Raw genomic sequence first — 20442 nt, 5'->3', positions numbered from 1 at the left:
CTATATCCAAAGTCAGTATTAGTCAAATACCTCCTCTTTTCCTTTTAGTTTCTGAGTTTTGCGTCTCGCATGAGTATTTTGAAACTACTCCAAAACTAGAAAATAATTCTTCTAAATTTACTTCCAGTATTTTTACTGTCTTGATTTTCAGATTTGAATTTTAATCCAATCATAATTTACTGACCTATATGGCATAAGGAATGGATCTAGCTATATCTCATGGTTCCCACACCATTAAATGGTATATTCTTTCCGCTACTAATTTGAATTATCTCTTTAACTATATATTAAATTCTCATACACATTCTAGCTGTTTTATTGACAGTTTTCCTATTTCTACAACAACACTGCACTATTTTAATTACCCTAGCTTTTAGCATATATTTGGATATCTGGGAAGGCAAGCCAGTTGCATCTAGTCTTTAACATCGGTTTGCATTAACATTTTTAAAGTTTCGAATCTTCCCATTACAGAACATGGCATCCTTTGTTTTATTCGGGTCTTCTATGTTTTTTTCTTAAAGTCCCACAGTTTTCTTTTCTTTTTTCTTTTCTTTTTCTTTTTTTTTTTTTTGAGACAGAGTTTCACTCTTGTTGCCCAGGCTGGAGTGCAATGGTGCGATCTCGGCTCACTGCAACCTCCTCCTCCTGGGTTCAAGTGATTCTCCTGCCTCAGCCTCCTAAGTAGCTAGGATTACAGGCATGAACCACTACACCTGGCTAATTTTTGTATTTTTAGTAGAGATGGGGTTTCACCATGTTGGCCAGGCTTGTCTGGAACTCCTGACCTCAGGTGATCCACCTGCGTTGGCCTCCCAAAGTGCTGGGGTTACTAGCGTGAGCCACCGCGCCCAGCTAATTTTTGTATTTTTAGTAGAGAACAGGGTTTCACCATGTTGGCCAGGCTTGTCTGGAACTCCTGACCTCAGGTGATCCACCTGCCTCGGCCTCCCAAAGTGCTGGGATTACTAGCGTGAGCCACCGCACCCCGCCAGTTCCACAGTTTTCCACAAAAGGATCTCATACATTTCTTGCCAGGTTTATTCCTAGAGATTTCTGATATTTGAAGGGCATTGTGGATGGGCTCTTTTCTCCAATTACATTAGAATTAGTTATTGCTGATATATAAGAAAACTCTTAGGCCCTGAGAGGTGGCTCCCACCTGTAATCCCAACACTTTGGGAGGCCAAGGCAGGAGGATTGGTTAAGGCCAAGAGTTCAAGACCAGCCTGAGCAACATAGCAAGACTCCATCTCTACAAAAAAAAAAAAATTGAAAAATTAGCCAAGCATGGTGGCACACACCTGTGGTCCCAGCTACACAGAAGGCTGAGGCAGGAAGATCGCTTGAGCTCAGGAGTTTGAGGATGCAGTGAGCTCTGACAGTGCCACTGCACTCCAGCCTGTGTGTCGTCAGAGAGAAACACTATCTCTTTAAAAAGAGAAAGCTATTAGCTTCAGTATATACCAGTCTCATATCTAACCATTTTTAAGAGGTCCAGTAATTTTTAAAAATCAATGATCATAAATATTATAATCGGATTGTCTATAAATAAGCTGGATCGCTAAGCCTTCCTCAAACCTACTCAGCCACTTAGCACTCACTTCTGACACGAAAGTTACCTTTGGCCCCAGTCAAGAAAAAAAGAAAAATGCCTCTTACATGTGTATACTGGAAAATAGCGGCCCCTCGAAGGCCTGGTGCATGTTTTAGTGTGGCCCCTCTTCCATTCCAAGAGGATATTAAGCTCTCTGCTGCACCCTCCATCTGGCCTCATTTGTCTACACAGGAATTTCCTCAGTGTTAAGAACACAAATGTTCCAGTCATTCCTAAGATATTTGTGAAATTTGAAAGAAAAATCCAGTATTTAAACAATAGGGGTAACAAGCTACTGGATTTTAACAAGTAGAAAACTTCCTTTTGCAACAGTTGTTACTTTGCAGTCAAGGAGCTGTAGTCCCTAAAAAAAAAAGTGATCAAGGCTTAGCAAAAGTCTGAGGGAAAAATATAAGACAGAAGAAAAATAAAGACAAATCCTTCTCCTACAAAATGTAACAGAAATATCACCTTGCGACAGAGTCTCACTCTGTCGCCCAGGCTGGAGTGCAGCATGCGATTTCGGCTCACTGCAAGCTCTGCCTCCCAGGTTCACGCCATTCTCCTCCCTCAGCCTCCCGATTAGCTGCGACTACAGGCACTACTAAAATTAGCCGGGTGTGGTGGTGCACACCTGTAATCCCAGCTACTCAGGAGGCTGAGGCACGAGAATTGCTTGAACCGGGAGGCGGAGGTTGCAGTGAACCGAGATTGCACCACTGCACTCCAGCTTGGGCCACAGAGTGAGACCCTGTCTCAAAAAAAAAAAAAAAAAAGTCTACTACATTTATTCATTTATTTTATGGCCCTTTTCAGAAATCGTGTGCTGGCTGGCCCCTGCTGGGGTACAAAGCTGCAGAGGCAGAGGTATAGAGGAGGGTGAGTTCTGAATCTGCCTTGGTAGAGTGACATTATTGGAGGATCCCTTAGTGCTTTGACAAGAAGCAATTTGGCTATGGGTTGTGTTTTATAGTAGAGCTAAGTCGCTTATCTGGAAACAGTGATGTTTGACATGGAGAAAGACTTATGTTATCATTATTTTGGAAATCACAAGTGCTTCTTGCTGATTGATTTATTTTCTCCCCACCTCCCAAAGGAATTTGACCAGTTTGATTAAATTTCATTTATGTCAAGTGTACAAAATGTGTTGTAAGAGCTGTTTGTGTCAGAGACAGTAAACAAACCCCTTTAATCTTTTTTCTTGCGAGAGCAGGAAGTCACCACTTGCCAATGAGAAATTTAAAACAAATCCCACAAAGTTTTGAGTTTAGTTCAGCACGTGAAATAGTTGAGGTCTTGGGATCTTGTAATCTTGGCAACTCCCATTTGCTGTCCCTGGTGAGAACACTTGTGTACCGTTGCTTACTTTCCGGTTCACTAAGAGGGTCGCACCTTGCCCTCTTAATCCTAGAGTCAAATCTGATTACAAACATTTTCCTCTCGGGAATCCCGCTTGTAAGGAAGATCACTGTGCTCTCTGTTAAATAAAACAGCTCCATTTAGTTGCCTTATTCGTTCTCAGGCTTACTGTATTTCATCAGCCTAAAGACTGTGTTTGACATCAATTATTAGAGACCATTTGTTTTTACAATGGAAAAAGAAATAAAAGTGCAGATGTTGAACCTCAAAATCCATACTTCTCAGAGCTATTTTCATTCCAGAAAGTAGGAATGTGCTGGGGGGTTCTTGTGTGGGGAGAGGGGAGGTGAATGAATACAAAAATAGACATATCACTGTGACTAAGTAAAATATTTTGTGTTGTTTTTTCTATTAATTTCAAAATTAGAGAAAACTTTAGAACAGAAAAAAATAAGTGAATTATGGGAAAGTGAAAACTGCAGGACACATTCCAGTTTAGTTAAAATAATAGCTCCTGTCAAATCAAAAAAAAAATGATGAAAATTTCAGCTTTGTTATCAGAAAAGTAGTATGGTTAAAGATGGGCAGTCTTTGCACTTAAGGAGTCTCCTTAAACACAAGTTCCCATTCCCAGACCTCATAGGTGAATGTTGATAGCAGAGTTGGACCCTAGCAGCAACCAACTTTACAAATGTGGGCATTTCTGGACGGGCGCGGTGGCTCACGCCTGTAATCACAGCACTTTGGGAGGCCGAGGCAGGTGGATCACGAGGTCAGGAGTTCAAGACCAGCCTGGCCAAGATGGTCAAACTCTGTCTCTACTAAAAATACAAAAAATAGCCAGGGCTGGTGGCAGGTGCCTGTAATCCCAGCTACTCCGGAGGCTGAGGGAGAGAACTGCTTGAACCTGGGAGGCGGAGGCTGCAGTGAGCCGAGATCGCGCCACTGCACTCCAGCCTGGGCAACAGAGCGAGACTACATCTGAAAAAAAAAAAAAAAGAAGAAGTGGGCATTTCTTAATGGTCCAATCTCTTCCTTTAACTGTGCAGAGGAAGCCAAGCCCCCACTGAGAGGTGACAACATGCTGGTAGGCCTCGCAGCCGTCACTCACTCTCGGCTCCTCTGCCTGGGCTCCCACTTTAACGGCACTTGAGGAGCCCTTCAGCCCGCCGCTGCACTGTGGGAGCCCCTTCCTGGGCTGGCCAAAGCCAGAGCCGGCTCCCTCAGCTTGCGGGGAGGTGTGGAGGGAGAGACGCGGGCGGGAACCGGGGCTGCACGCCGCGCTTGCGCGCCAGTGCGAGTTCCGGGTGGGCGTGGGCTCGGCGGGCCCCGCACTCCAAGCAGCCAGCCCGCCCCGCCGGCCACGGGCAGTGAGGGGCTTAGCACCTGGGCCAGCAGCTGTTAGTGCTCGACTTCTCGCGGGGCCTTAGCTGCCTCCGTGCGGGGCATGGCTCGGGACCTGCAGCCCGCCATACCTGAGCCTCCTCCCCCGCGTCATGGGCTCCTGCGCGGCCTGAGCCTCCCCCACGAGTGCCGCCCCCTGCTCCACAGGACCCAGTCCCATCGACCACCCAACGGCTGAGGAGTGCAGGCGCACTGCACAGGACTGGCAGGCAGCTCCACCTGCGGCCCTGGTGCGGGATCCACTGGGTGAAGCCAGCTGGGCTTCTGAGTCTGGAAGGGACTTGGAGAACCTTTATGTTTAACTAAGGGATTGTAAATACACCAATGGGCACTCTGTATCTAGCTCAAGGTTTGTAAACACACCAATCAGCACCCTGTGTCTAGCTCAGGGTTTGTGAATGCACCAATCGACGCTCTGTATCTAGCTACTCTGGTGGGGACTTGGAGAACCTTTGTGTCCACACTCTGTATCTAGCTAATCTAGTGGGGACGTGGAGAACTTTTGTGTCCAGCTCCAGGATTGTAAACGCACCCATCAGCACCCTGTCAAAACGGACCAATCAGCTCTCTGTAAAACAGACCAATCGGCTCTCTGTAAAATGGACCAATCAGCAGGATGTGGGTGGGGCCAGATAAGAGAATAAAAGCAGGCTGCCCCAGGTAGCAGTAGCAACTTGCTGGAGTCGCCTTCTGTGCTGTGGAAGTTTTGTTGTTTTGCTTGTTTGCAATAACCGTTGCTGCTGCTTACTGTTTGGGTCCGCACTGCCTTTATGAGCTGTAACGCTCACCGTGAAGGTCTGCAGCTTCGTTCTTAAAGCCAGCCACATCACGGACCCACCGGGAGAAACGAATAACTCCAAACACGCCACCTTAAGAGCCGTAGCACTCATGATGAAGGTCCGTAGCTTCACTCCTGAAGTCAGCGAGATCACGAATCTGCCAGAAGGAAGAAACTCCGAACACATGCGAGCATCAGAAGAAACAAACTTGGGACACGCTGCCTTTAAAAACTGTAACACTCACCGCCAGGGTCCGCGGCTTCGTTCTTGAAGTCAGTGAGACCAAGAATCCGCCGATTCTGGACACACCATGACGGAACTAGGTAAGTGATAGGAGCTAGGAGAGCTGCTCACCAGAGGAGGTAGAGACCAAGTCTACAAGTGCATCCGGGGTATATTGAGAAACCGGGTAACTTCTGTGAAATGAGGCAAAGTACAAAAATCCTCTGCATCCCACTCATGGCAAGGTGGGCCCAGCTTCTCAGGACAGGGAGTGGGAGACTAGTGGGAGCAAATGGCGCTTCCCACCTGTTGGCAGTGAAGAGGCCTGCAGCCCACACCAGGAGCTAATTAAAGGGAATTGTTCCTGGTTCAGAATCCCAGAAAGCCACCAAGGGGGGTCTAATCCGCGGGGGTGATCCCAATTAAAAGGGAGCGCTTTATATCAGGAGGACAATTCAGCAGATGGAGCCACGTGGTCCTGCTGTCACACTGAGCTCTCTAGAGGCCGCAGGGTGCTTGAGAGGCTCTGCCTGCTTCCCTGAAGGGAGCTTCTCCTCCCCAGACCTAGATGGGGACAGAGAATCATGGGTCTTCTTCCTCTTAATATACAGCTTCAGGAAAAAAGTATTTTCAGTTTAAAAAAAAGTTTAAGAATATTTTTAGAGACAGGGTCTCACTCTGTCACCCAGGGTGGAGTGCAGAGGTGCAGTTACGACTGACGGCTCAAGTGATCCTCCCGCTTCAGCCTCCCTGAGAAGCCAGGACTATGGGCATATACCACGTTTTGAAAAAAATAATTGATGCAGTCTTGCCACGTTGCCCAGGTTGATCTTGAACTCCTGGCCTCAGGCTATCCTCCTACCTTGGCCTCTCAAAATGCTGAAATTAAAGGCGTGAGCCAGTGCACCTGGCCAAAAGTTTGTTTTGTTTTTAAATAGAATTCTCCGAAAGATCAAGATATTGGAAAACAGCTTTTTCGATAGAGGAAATAGCCTCAAATGTTAGCCTTTTTCAGTTATTCTGACACATTAAAAAGAGGACTGTCTGCAGAGCCAGGTGGCATGCCACGGCTGTGGCTCACTGTCAGTGGCATGTTTAAGGAGTCCAGCACAGTGTCAAGAAAGCACTTTTCGCAGGTAGAACGCAGGGTGGTGAGCACAGAGCTAGCAAGCTTGCACAGACGCTAGCTAGGTGGCAAGCCTCTGTTCCTCAGGGCTGATGAAGCTGGGGACAGTGCCTGGGGCACAGAAAGAATCCATACAGGATCCGGTGCTGCGATCCTCGTTTCTCAAAACAGGAAACCTGAGCACAGAGGTTAACTTCCCTGAGGACCCACAGCTCCTAGGCAGCGGTGCTTGCAATCAATATTTTAAAGGCAGGCGCCATAAGATTCATCTATGGTTTTCTCTCTTTTTTTTCTGCTCACATCTCACATATTTTGTGGAATTAGTTTTCAGAGCAATCAAATTTTACCAAATCATAATGGCCAAACACAATGAGGGGCTCTGGCAGGGATTACTAAAGAGGAAAAAATAAGATCTAAGTAAACGACTTGTAGGGTAGCCCACAGTTCCTAGGACAGTACCTCTTTGAGCACCATGTGGTGTTCCGTCCCAGACATCCTTCTGTCCCAGGCAAACCGGGACAGCTGGTAGCCAAACCCTTAGCTCACCTTTGAACCATCCTGAACAACAAAGTGACCCAGACTCAAATGTCCAGAAAGTCCCTGCTGGCGCTCCAACCCGCTGTCCTGAGCTGGATCGTTCTGCTTTCAAGGGGCATTGCTTTATCACCCTCCCCTAGATCCTTGGCCTTTCGGGGCCCAGAACGCTACGGACGCCGGGCGGCCAGGAGGGGTTGGGCTCCCGCTCCACCCCGGTCCCCGGCGAGCACGCGGCCAGGCAGAGAAGGTGCCCGGAGCTCAGAGCGCGCAGAGCCCGGCCGCTGGGCCGCTGCCTGAGCCAGGGAGGCGCAGCGCGAGCTCCCACTTCGTCTTCATGGATTCCCAGCCCAGCTGCGTGGTGGTGACTGGTAAGACTACATAATTTTTTTCTCTCCTATTTGTTGCTGCTTTTAGCCTGCCCCTGGAATGCGCACTGGCCTGATCCTGGGTCTTAAATAGTTCCCTGAGGGAAAAAAAGAATGGCAACTGGTGGTGCTAATAATTCCAGATGGAAACGAACTTGCTGCTGTGCCCTATTAATAAACAATCAGGATCACAGGCATTTCTGCTTCTGTGGCTCATTCGCTTCAAGTAACTCTCGAGTGGCGGGCACGAAGGTGCCACTGGTGGCTTAGGCTCAGACCTTGCCTTTCAACCCAGCAGGGAGGAAGCTGAGGCTGGTACCTGTTTTCCCTGAGTGGGGCCCGAGGCACGTGAGGTATCCCTTGGGGGTGCAGGCTCATAGCAAGGAAGAGGGATCTATACGCCCAGAAACCACAGGGCCCTCACAAGGCTTGCAAACCCATCTACAACAGCCACCCGCAAAGGAACACACAGTCCCCACTTCCAGAGTAAGAACTTCCATTTTTCAGGGAGCTGTGAAGCACCCCCCGAGAGCCACTAGCTGGAGACCCTGAGCCCCAGAAGGTCAACTTGGAAGGAATGGTGGCTGCTCACTCCTGCAAACACCAGCACATCCAGAGTCACCCCCACCCACACTTGCCTCACCAAGTCAGCATCCCAGCTGGTCCCTGGGGGCCTGATCTTCACAAAGGTCTTTATTTTTATTAATTTTTTTTTGAGACAGAGTCTTGTTCTGTCGCTAGGCTAGAGTGCAGTGGCGTAAGCTCAGCTCACTGCAGCCTCCGCCTCCTGGGTTCAAGCGATTCTCCTGCCTCAGCCTCCCGAGTAGCTGGGACTACAGGTACGCACCACCACGCCCAGCTAATTTTTGTATTTTTAGTAGAGATGGGGTTTCACCATGTTGGCCAGGATGGTTTCGATCTCTTGACCTTGTGATCTGCCCGCCTAGGCCTCCCAAAGTGCTGGGACTACAGGCATGAGCCACTGCGCCTGGCCCTATTTTTATTTTTATATTTTTAATTTTTCTGAGACAGTCTCCCTCTGTTGTCCAGACTGGAGTGCAGTGGCTCAGTCATAACTCACTGCAGCCTCAAACTCCTGGGCTCAAGTAATCCTCCCACCTCAGCCTCTGGAGTAGCTGGGACAACAGGCACTCACCACCACACCCCCCAATTTATTTTATTTTAGTTTTTAGTAGAAACAGGGTTTTCCTGTATTCCCCAGACTGGTCTCTAACTCCCGGGCTGAAGTGATCCTCCCGCCTTGGCCTCCCAAAATGCAGGGATTACAGGCATGAGCCATCATGTCCAGCCTTCATTTTTAGTTAGACACATTTGGCCGGTTTTAAGTTTTCTGAATTGTGTTGGATGAAGAGGCAGGGTTTCCTGGATGAATGGGAAATTGAAAGTTGTGTCGCTTAATCTTTTCAGACTATAATTCTAACTCCTATCGACCTTCAGAGAAAAAGTTCTTTGGGAAACCTTTTATCTCCCTTGCTCTTATTTGTGTTATTTTGGTTCTGGAGATTGAATGGTTCAAATTACTCTTGAATTCCTAAGGAAACTGTACTCTAATGCATGCAATGCTTGTCATGAATGAAATATGAACATTGAAGCACCATCTTAGAATCACACTGACCCCTGCCTTTGTCTTGTCAGCCTGTGGTTTGCTGGCAAACTGGAAATTGTTTGATGAAATACCTGATAATCAGCCATGATTTGGGAATGCCCGCTGGATTCCAGAGCGTGGCCTTCCTGTGTTAGAAATGCTTAGAGCTGCCAGGGGCAGTCTCTTCATTTAATTGGATTTGCTTCGTGTGTAAATCTCCTCAAGACAATTGGCATGTAGACAGATGGTGGGAGAACGAGGGCTCCGACAAATTGCTTCGAGATCAAAGTGTTCAGACTGGCACCAACGATAACCACAAGAGTGAGAAAACGTGCATCCCTCCCACGGGCCTCTCAGAATTCTAAGATTTCTCCAGCTCCGTTTGCAAGTTGCACTGGGGGCTGACCAAGTTTAAAGTGAGGTTTGAACTTGAAACACAAGAGCTTCAAACCTTCACTTGCAGAGTTGATTTTTCTAATTTAAAACAGATAAGAGATGTCATATTTGCTGATACAAATATGATTCTAAAGCAGAATGTGATTTTTGTGTGTGTTGCTGCATTTTTATTGTATTTTTATTATCCCAGGAGGTACCTGGCTTCTCAGTGCTTTTTTTTTTTTTTAATCTCACTATTTTCTATAACTGCCCTTTTTTTTTTCTGGCTGTTTCCAAGGGCAGCTAAAGTCTTATTTATTCTGAAGGATTTGGTTGAATCAGAGGACACCATGGGCTTTTTGGGACGTTCTGTCCAAAACTGTTTCATTCCCTCAGAAAGTTTTTACTTCCTCATGAGCCAACCCTGTTTGTGGGTCTAGACCCAGATGTTCAGGAATTGCAAAGGTATAATTCAAGTTTCTCTCCAGAACTGGTTCCTAGTCTAAAGGCCTGAGGTCCAGGGAGCTGGGTTCTCAGAGACTGACATTTAGTCACAGCCCTTTCCTCATCAAAGAATATGAATGACTTGAGAAATATGTCACAGGAATCAGAGGTGGAAATGTCACAGGAATCAGAGGTGGAACTGAAAACCTCAGCTGTACTCCGGGATAAAGCTGAGTTAGAGAATTCCACTTGTATCTGCAGCCCACTTAATTGAGCACCTGACTCCATCACAGGCATATCTGGCACTGGCTAGTCTCCCACACAGGAGGCCACACACTTTTTAAAACTTTTTATTTTGAAATAAATATAGGAATTTGCCAAGAAGTGTACAGAGGTTCCCTGTACCCTTTACCCAGCCTCTCCTGATATTGACATATTAACATTTTCAATATAAAAGCCAGGATATTGACATTGGTATAATTCAAAATTTGTGCTTGCAGTATGTGTGCGTGTGTGTGTGTAATTTCAGCTAGTGTAGCTTCCTATCACCACCACCACAATCAAGATACCTAGCAGTACCATCACCACAAAGCTCACTCGTGCTAGCTCTTTACAGCCACACCCACCCGCTTCCTCCCATCTCAAACACCTGGCAACCATTAGTCTGTTCTCCATCTGTATAATCATTTTATTTTACAAATATTTTATGTAGGCTGGGTACAATGACTCACACCTGTAATCCCAGCACTTTGGGAGGTTGAGATGGGCAGATCACCTGAGACCAGGAGTTCGAGGGCAGCCTGGGAAACCTGGCAAAAATACAAAAAATTAATCAGACATGGTGGCATGCACCTGTGGTCCCAGCTACTCGGGAGGCTGACGTGGAAGGATCACTTGAGCCCAGGAGATGGAAGCTGCAGTAAGCTATGATCGTGGTACTACACTCCAGCCTGCATGACAGAGTGAGATCCTGTCTGAAAATAAAAATAGGGCCAGGTGCGATGGCTTATGCCTATAATCCCAGCACTTTGAGAAGCCCAGAGGGGTGGATCACTTAGGGCAGGAGTTCGAGACCAGCCTGGCCAACATAGTGAAACCCCATCTCTACTAAAAATACAAAAATTAGCTGGGCATGGTGATGGGCACCTGTAACCCCAGCTACTTAGGAGGCTGAGGCAGGAGAATTGCTTGAACCCAGGAGGCGGAGGTTGCAGTGAGCTGAGATCACACCACTGCACTCCAGCCTACGTGACAGGGTGAGACTCTGTCTCAAAAAGCAAACAAGCAAAAATAAAAAACACAAATATATAAATGAAATCATACAGTACATGTCCTTTTGAGATTGGTTCTTTTTCACTTGGAGTAATTTAAGGTTCATCCAGGTTGTATGTATCAATAGTCCATTATAAAAAGTTTTTAAACTACTTCATTGAGATATAATCCACATGCTATACCATTTACTCATTTAAAGCGAGTAACATTCAGTGGCTCAGTATAGTCACGAAGTTACATATTCATCACTACAGTCAATTTTAGAACATTTTCAGCACCCCAGAAAGAAACCCCACACCCCTTAGCTTTCACCACTCACGTCCCCCCACAACACACATACCCAGCTTCTGGCAACCACTAATATACTTTGTCCCTATAGATGTGCCTCTTCTGACATTTCATATAAATGGAATCATTTTACATGTGGTCCTTTGCCTCTGGCTTCTTTCATTTAGCATGTTTTCAAGGTTGAGCCACGTGGTAGTGTGTCCAGAATTGGTGGGTTGTTGGTCTCACTGACTTCAAGAATGAAGCCGCGGACTCTCGTGGTGAGTGTTACAGTTCTTAAAGGCGGCGTGTCCAGAGTTTATTTCTTGACTGATGTTTGGATGTGTTCAGAGTTTCTTCCTTCTGGTGGGTTCATGGTCTTGCTGGCTCAGGAGTGAAGCTGCGGACCTTTGGAGTGAGTGTTACAGCTCTTAAGGCAGCGTGTCTGGAGTTCATTCCTCCCAGTGGGTTCGTGGTCTCGCTGGTTTCAGGAGTGAAACTGGAGACCTTTGTGGTGAGTTACAGCTCATAAAGGCAGTGTGGACCCAAAGAATGAGCAGCAGCAAGATTGATTGTAAAGAGCGAAAGAACAAAGCTTCCACAGTGTGGAAGGGGACCCGAGTGGGTTGCCACTGTTGGCTCCCGCAGCCTGCTTTTTTTTCTCTTATCTGGCCCCACCCACATCCTGCTGATTGGTCCATTTTACAGAGAACTGATTGGTCCATTTTGACAGGGTGCTGATTGGTGTGTTTATAATCCCTGAGTTAGACACAAAAGTTCCCCACTAGATTAGTTAGATACAGAGTGTGGATACAAAGGTTCTCCAAGTCCCCACCAGAGTAGCTAGATACAGAGCGTCGATTGGTGCATTCACAAACCCTGAGCTAGACACAGGGTGCTGATTGGTGTGTTTACAAACCTTGAGCTAGATACAGAGTGCCGATTGGTGTATTTACAATCCCTTAGCTAGAAATAAAGGTTCTCCATCCCCACCAGACTCAGGAGCCCAGCTGGCTTTACCCTGTGGATCCCGCACTGGGGCCGTAGGTGGAGCTGCCTGCCAGTCCTGTGCCATGTGCCCGCACTCCTCAGCCCTTGGGGTGGTCGATGGGACTGGGCGCCGTGGAGCAGGGGGCCAGCTTGTCTGGGAGGCTCGTTGGCACAGGAGCCCACGGAGGAGGGGGAGCTCCGGCATGGCGGGCTGCAGGTCCTGAGCCCTGCCCGGCAGGAAGGCAGCTAAGGCCCAGCGAGAAGTTGAGCACAGCAGCTACTGGCCCAGATGCTAAGCCCCTCACTGCCTGGGGCCGGCGGGGCTGGCCGGCCACTCCCAGTGCGGGGCCCGCGGAGCCCACGCCCACCCGGAATTCGCGCTGGCCCGCAAGCACTGCACGCAGCCCCGGTTCCCGCCCGCGCCTCTCCCTCCACGCCTCCCTGCAAGCTGAGAGAGCTGGCGCTGGCCTTGGCCTGCCCAGAAAGGGGCTCCCACAGTGCAGTGGTGGGCTGGAGGGCTCCTCAAGTGTCACCAAAGTGGGAGCCCAGGCACAGGAGGGGCTGAGAGTGCGCAAGGGCTGCAAGGACTGCCAGCATGCTGTCACCTTCTCAGTAGCATGTATCAGTACTTCATTCCTTTTTATTGACAAATAATATTTCATTGTGTGGATTATACCACATTTTGTTTGCCATTCATCAGTTGATGGACATTTTGATGTTTCTACTTCTCTCTTCCACTGCTGAGTGTATTCTGTGAGATGGGTGAACCATGATTGGTTTGACTGTTAACCCACTGAAGAACATTTGGGTAGTTTCCAGCTTTGGTCTATTACAAATAAAGCTTCTATGAACGTTTTTGTATACACTTCTGTATGAAAATAAGTTTTCATTTCTCTGAGATAAATGTCCAGGAGTGCAAATGCTAGTAAATCCACTTTCAATTAAAAAAAAATTGTCAAACTATTTCCCGGAGCAACAGTACCATTTTATATTCCCACCAGCAATGTGTGAGTGACCTAGTTTCTCCTCATCCTTGCCAACATTTGGTGTTATCAGTCTTTCTATTTTAGCCACTCTGATAAGTGTGCTGTGACATCTCATCCAGATTTTAATTTGTATTTCTATGATAGCTAATGATGTTGAACATCTTTTCATGTGCTTATTTGCCACCTGTATATCCTCATCACTGACATGTCTCTTCATGTGGTTTGCCCATCTGCTGATTGGACTGTTTGAGTTTCAAGAGTTCTTTATGTATTTTATATACAAAGCCTTGGTGAAATACATGATTTGCAACTATTTTCTCCATCTGTAGCTTATCTCTTCCTCCTCTTAACAGGGACTTTCACAGAGCAAGAGTTTTTAATTTTGACGGAATCTAGTTTGTTAATTATTCCTGTTATGCAGCCTGCTTTTGGTTTCAAATCTAAGAACTCTTTGCCTAGCCTTAAAGCCTAAGATTTTCTCCTTCCCCCCAAAAAACTTAGTTTTTTGTTTGTTTTTCTGAAACAGTTTTGCTCTTTCGCCCAGGCTGGAGTTAAGTGGCGCAATCTCAGCTCACTGCAACCTCTGCCTTCCGGGTTCAAGCGATTCTCCTGCCTCAGCCTTCCTAGTAGCTGGGATTATAGGTGCCCACCATGTCTGGCTAATTTTTGTATATTTAGTAGAGACGGGGTTTCGCCATGTTGGCCAGGCTGGTCTCGAACTCCTGACCTCAGGTGATCCACCCACCTTGGCCTCCCAAATTGCTGGGATTACAGGCATGAGCCACCATGCCAGGCTACTTCTGCTTTTTATATTTAAGTCCATTATTCATTTGGGTTAAGTTTTGTGTAAGGGGTGAGGCTTAGGTTGAAGGGTTCAGGTTTTTTGCCTGTTAGTGTCTAATTGTTCTAACACCATTGGTTGACGAACCTATCCCTTTTCCATTGAAATTGCTTTTGCACCTATGTCAACAAACAATTGGGCATATTCATGTGGGTCTATTCCAGGGTTCTTTACAAAGCATGCTTTTTATTCAGACATCTGTGCACACATGTTCTTAAGCCCTCGCAGCTTGGCAGTGGGTCAGCTCCATGTTCTTTCTTTGCTCCCCAACAATGCCTCACATGTGAGGACTCTGAGAATGCTCCCAGGTTGGCACAGTTGCAGCCTCCATGGGGAAGGGGACGTGCAAAGATCCCTAGGGCCCAAGATGGTCTGAGGAGCAGGAACAGAGTCTTATGGGGTGGGACCTGGTGCTCGAGTGCAGCCAGGAGTAGAGGCCCCAGTCCCAAGGTCTGGCTTGAGCAAACCTGGGCATGTTTGGTTTCAGGTTTTGGGCCCTTCCGGCAGCACTTGGTGAATTCCAGCTGGGAAGCAGTGAAGGTAAAAACCCTGTAGCTCAAGACCCAGGAGCTCAGCGCCCAATGAGTTTCTTCTGTGGCTGCTGAGAAACCTCCGGCGTTCAGGCCCGTCAGTAACCAGATCCGCAGGGGCAGGGGGAAAAACAAGTGCATGGGCCCCTGGGAGAACAGCTTGTCTTTGGCACTTGGGTTGTGACTTGTCTGCCTCATGCCCCTCCTGCCTCTGAAGTAAAGAAAGGGGCCTAAAGGGACCCTCCTGGGAGGGATGGGGAGTGTCCTCAGAGCAGGTTCGCTGGCCCAGAGCGAGGTTTCTATTGTCTGTGTCCCTTCTGGCTATGGGGCCCGGGGGAAAGTCATTTCCCCCAGCCTCAGTTTTCTCATTCATGAAATGAGGGAATAATAAAGCAGATGTTGCAGGGTTGTTCTGAGGACCCAAAGAGGTAAGTATGTAATGTAAAGCCACTTTGTACAAGCAGCTATTTTAGCACCTGGGCACAGAGAAAGCACTTAATAAATGTCTGTTGTCATAAACAACATGTTTATTTGTAAGAAAGCCAACTAGGAGAAAGCACAACCTCAGACAGGCCTTGAGGAGGGAACTGCCTCTTCTCCTTGGGGCACTTGTCTGCTCTCTGTCCCCATACAGCTGTCACTCAGGTGACACACCGCCAACTGCTTATTCACACTTGGCCATCAATTTCATGCCTCCGTTGGATCAAGGTGAGGTCTTTATTCTGAGTTTTTTGGTCAAGCTGAAAATGCAGCAAAACCCCTTGCACCATGCATTTGCAGCAGCTGCAGCATCGGTTTTCTAGGCTGTCAGTACAGATGCAGTCAAGGAAAACTCTCAACTCTTGAGTTAGAATTTAGGTTCCTTTCAACCAGGAAAAAGCTGAGGGCATCCCAGAGCCACTGCCAAGCCTCACTGCTGCACACAACATACCAGAAAGGCCAGCTTGGGGCTTTCATGGGCTCCTGTGTGTCTGCAGGCAGTTCCTCAAAACACAGGACCTTTTTTGCCAAATCCTCGATGATCCTGAACCCTTCTATTTCTTTTTACAGTCATGAGAATGGAAAAGAGCCAGGCCTCCTGGGTTTAGCTCCAACAGTGGCAAGCTGCGAGACCCAAGACAAGTCACCCAGCTTTTCTGTGTCTCAATTTTCTCATCTGTGAAATGGGAAGGTGTGATGATTAACGGAGTTAACACATGTAAACCCCTTAGAACCAGGTGGGGCATATTGCCAGTGCTCACAGATATAATTCTTCTATTACTAAAAGGCTATTCCATGAGTCAAGGTTCTTAGCTGCAGGCAAATAGGATCTGACTCTGATGATTCACAGATAAGGTAGATATCACTAGGTAAGATAGAGCCTCTGCATGGCTGGGCAAGCAGAAGGTAAAGGGCAGCTCTGAGGACCAAACACGTACCCACGCGTGCACACATGGATACACAGGCATACACACGTGCATGCATATATACATATACAACATGCACACAACACACATACACGCAGGCATATACACATACAACAAGCATACACAACACACATAATACATGCATGCACACCCATACCTATACATATGCACACACACACACACACACACATACCCCTATATACACATGCATGTATACATCTAGACATACACCCATATACACATACCAAGAGCTTCAGGCTGAGGTGAGTGAGTGGTTAGCACACATACACAGGTGAGGGTGAGTTTCATGATCAGCATTGTGAGCAGCAAGGGGGGTGGAGATGAAACCAAGCCTCTTTAAGTCAGTCCCTTAAGGGACCTTGTGGTCTCAAGCACCCTGACTCCTGCAGAAGCTTATGCAATTTCTCTTGAATGAAAACCTCTGATTTTTCACAAATTAAGATAAACTAAATGTCAATTTCCAATTAAAGATCACCAAATATACAGAGAAGCAAACTACCATGAGTAGGAATCAGCAGAAGCAGATTTAGAAGCTCAAGGACTTCAGCTACAAGAATGATCAGAAAATAGCATAACTACATATGAAATACTTAAAGATAGAATCACAAAAGTAAGCAAAAAGACTGAAAAGATCAGGTAAAATGAAAAGGAGAGTAATAAAACTTACAGAAATTTAAAACAGTTGTTGAGGTGAAAAATTTAACAGATGATTTAAAAGGCAGGTTAGAATTACGGTAAATGAAAGGCACCAGTCACAAAAGACTACATATGGTAAGATTCTACTTACATGATTGTCCAGATTAAGCAAATCTATTGAGACAAAAAGAGGATTAATGGTTTCCTAGGGTAGGTGAAGAGGAGGAAGGTGGTGGGGGAAATGGGGAGTGACAATTAATGAATATGGGGTTTTTTGGGCGTGATAGATTCTAAAATTGATTGTAGTAATGGTTACATAACTCTGCATCTACTAAAAACCATTGAATTGTAGAGTTTATTTAGAGACAGAGTCTAGCTCTGTCGCCCAGGCTGGAGTGCAGTGGTGCCATCTTGGCTCACTGCAACCTCTGCCTCCCAGGTTCAAGAGATTCTCCTGCCTCAGTCTCCCAAGTAGCTGGGATTACAGGCATGCCACCATGTCCAGCTAATTTTTATATTTTTAGTAGAGATGGGGTTTCACTATGTTGGCCAGGCTGGTCTCGAACTCCTGACCTCAGGTGATCTGCCCACCTTGGCCTCCCAAAGTGCTGGGATTACAGGTGTGAGCCACTGCACCCGGCCTGAATTGTAGGCTTTAAATGGGATAATTGTATGGGAGGTGAATTATATCTCAATAAAGACAGATTAGATATACATATAGATATACATGCATATGCATATATAGAAGTTTAGAGACAAATGAAGAGAAAATTAGTGAACTAGAAGACAGATCTGAAGATACTACTCAAAAGAGCAGCATAAGGAGATACAGAAAGAAGACAGAAAATAAATGTGGACGATAAAATGTGATGTTCTAAATACATTTAGTAGGAGTTCCAGAAGGAGAGAACAATGAGAATGGAACAGAAGCAATATTCAAAGAGATAGTGACTGAGAATATTCCAGAAGTGATGAAAGGCATGAATCCACAGAGATGAGCACAAAATAGACCAAGCAAGGACAAACAAGATCCACACGGATACACATTATAGTTAAGCTACAGAATACCAAAAACAAGGAGATCTTTAGCCAGAGAGAAAGACATTACTTGGAAAAATTGACAATCTAATTAGAGTAAATGTCTCAAAGGCAACAGTAAAAGCCAGAATACATAGAGTAATATATTCAAAGTGCCAAAAAATTATCACTATAATTGTGTACCCAGCAAAATTGTTTCAAAAACATGAAAAATGAAGCAAAGACATTTTTATAAAAACAAACACCAAGAGTTTACTATCAAAAGACACAGTGCTAAGGGAACAACTAAAGGATGTCCTTCAAAAGGAAGGAAAATGATCTGAGAAAGACAGTGTGAAATGCAAGGAGGGGTAGTGAGCCCGCAGGCAAAATCTAAACTAGCATTATTTGTATAAGGTCGTAGTAATAATAGCTCCATTTTTTTTTCTTTTTTGATACAGGGTCTCACTCCAATTGCCCAGGCTGGAATGCAGTATAGCTGGGACTACAGGCACGTGCCACCATGCCTGGCTAATTTTTTTATTTTTTATTAGAGGCAAGGTTTTGCCATGTTGCCCAGGCTGATCTTGAACTCCTGGACTCAAGCAATCCACCCACCTCAGCCTCCCAAAGTGCTGGGATTACAGGTGTGAGCCACCACGCCGGGCCAGTAGCTTCTTGTTAGGCTTTAAATAGAGAACTGAACTAAAATGTAAGACAATGAAAGCTTTTATAGGCCAAGAAGGATAATCAAAGTTTAAGGTTTTTGTTTTTTGAGACAGAGTCTTGCTCTGTCACCCAGGCTGGAGTGCAGTGGCATGATCTTGGCTCACTGCAACCTCCACATCCCAGGTTCAAGCTATTCTCCTGCCTCAGTCTCGTAAGTAGCTGGGACTACAGGTGTGTGCCACTATGCCTGGCTAATTTTTGCATTTTTAGTACAGACGGGGTTTCACCATGTTGGCCAGGATGGTCTCGATCTCCTGACCTCATGATCCACCTGCCTCGGCCTCCCAAAGTGCTGGGATTACAGGCATGAGTCACTGTGCCAGGCCAAAATTTGTTTTTTAAGGTCCTTGTATTCTACAGGACAGGCATCCAGATATCAGCTTTAGACTTTGTTAAATTATATATGTATGGCAAAATTTCAAGAGTAACTTTTTTTGTTGTTTTGTTTTTTCAATTTTGTGTTCTCTTTTTTTTTCATGTAATTGTTTTATTATACTTTAAGTTCTGGGGTACATGTGCAGAACGTGCAGGTTTGTTACATAGGTATACACGTGCCATGGTGGTTTGCTGCACCCATCAACCCATCATCTATATTAGGTATTTCTCCTAATGCTATCCCTCCCCCACCCCCCACCGCCTGACAGGCCCCGGTGTGTGATGCCCACCCCCACCCCTGTGTCCATGTGTTCTCATTGTTTAACTCCCAGTATGAGTGAGAACATGCAGTGTTTGATTTTCTGTATCTGTGTATTTCTAGTTCTAGATCCTTGAGGAATCGCTACACTGTATAATTGTTGAACTAGTTTACACTCCCACCAACAGTGTAAAAGTATTCCTATTTCTCCAAATCCTCTCCAGCATCTGTTGTTTCCTGACTTTTTAATGATCACCATTCTAACTGGCATGAGATGATATCTCATTGTGGTTTTGATGTGCATTTCTCTAATGACCAGTGATGATGAGCTTTTTTATATGTTTCTTGGCCACATAAATGTCGTCTTTTGAGAAGTGTCTGTTCATATCCTTCACCCACTTTTTGATGGGGTTGTTTTTTTCTTGTAAATTTAAGTTCCTTGTAGATTCTGGATATTAGCCCTTTGTCAGGTGGGTAGATTGCAAAAATGTTCTCCCATTCTGTAGGTTGCTTGTTCACTCTGATGATAGTTTCTTTTGCTATGCTGAATCTCTTTAGTTTAATTAGATCCCATTTGTCAATTTTGGCTTTTGTTGCCATTGCTTTTGGTGTTTTAGTCATGAAGTCTTTGCTCATGCCTATGTCCTGAATGGTATTGTCTAGGTTTTCTTCTAGGGTTCTTACAGTTTTAGGTCTTATGTTTCTTACGTTTAAGTCTTTAATCCATCTTGAATTAATTTTTGTATAAGGTGTAAGGAAGGGTTCCAGTTTCAGCTTTCTGCATATGGCTAGCCAGTTTTCCCAACACCATTTATTAAATAGGGAATCCTTTCCCCATTGCTTGTTTTTGTCAGGTTTGTCAAAGATCAGATGGTTGTAGATGTGTGCTGTTATTTCTGAGGCCTCCGTTCTGTTCCATTGGTTTATATATCTGTTTTGGTACTAGTACCATGCTGTTTTTGTTACTGCAGCCTTGTAGTATAGTTTGAAGTCAGGTAATGTGATGCCTCCAGCTTTGATCTTTTTGCTTAGGATTGTCTTGGCTATGCAGGCTCTTTTTTGGTTGCATATGAAATTTAAAGTAGTTTTTGCAGTTCTGTGAAGAAAGTCAATGGTAGCTTGATGGGGATAGCATTGAATGTATAAATTACTTTGGGCAGTATGGCCATTTTCACAATATTGATTCTTCCTATTTATGAGCATGCAATGTTTTTCCATTTGTTTGTGTCCTCTCATTTCCTTGAGCAGTGGTTTGACGTTCTCCTTGAAGAGGTCCTTCACATCCCTTGTAAGTTGTAT

General features: G+C 45.7%; 1 protein-coding gene across 2 annotated transcripts in view; it reads left to right on the top strand.

Annotated features, from left to right (window-relative positions):
- Positions 1-5028: 5028 nt before the first annotated feature.
- PGPEP1L (pyroglutamyl-peptidase I like) overlaps positions 5029-20442 on the top strand; it is a 39564-nt gene continuing 24150 nt past the window's right edge. Inside the window, exons 1-2 of one of the 2 annotated variants that reach the window (NM_001167902.2) lie at positions 5029-5462; positions 7165-7392. Coding sequence is in view for 1 of the 2 variants with exons in the window: in NM_001102612.2 (NP_001096082.2) it covers positions 11614-11634 (21 nt within the window). In the remaining variant the exon portion in view is untranslated. Of the gene's footprint in view, positions 5463-7164; positions 7393-11541; positions 11635-20442 lie in introns of those variants that run through there. The other variant, NM_001102612.2, reaches the window with a different exon arrangement.

The sequence above is a fragment of the Homo sapiens genome, chromosome 15 (genome assembly GCF_000001405.40).
Source record: "Homo sapiens chromosome 15, GRCh38.p14 Primary Assembly".
Classification (NCBI taxonomy): domain Eukaryota; kingdom Metazoa; phylum Chordata; class Mammalia; order Primates; family Hominidae; genus Homo; species Homo sapiens.
The sequence above is the reverse complement of the archived record's forward strand: the minus strand, read 5'-3'. Positions and strand labels throughout refer to the sequence as shown.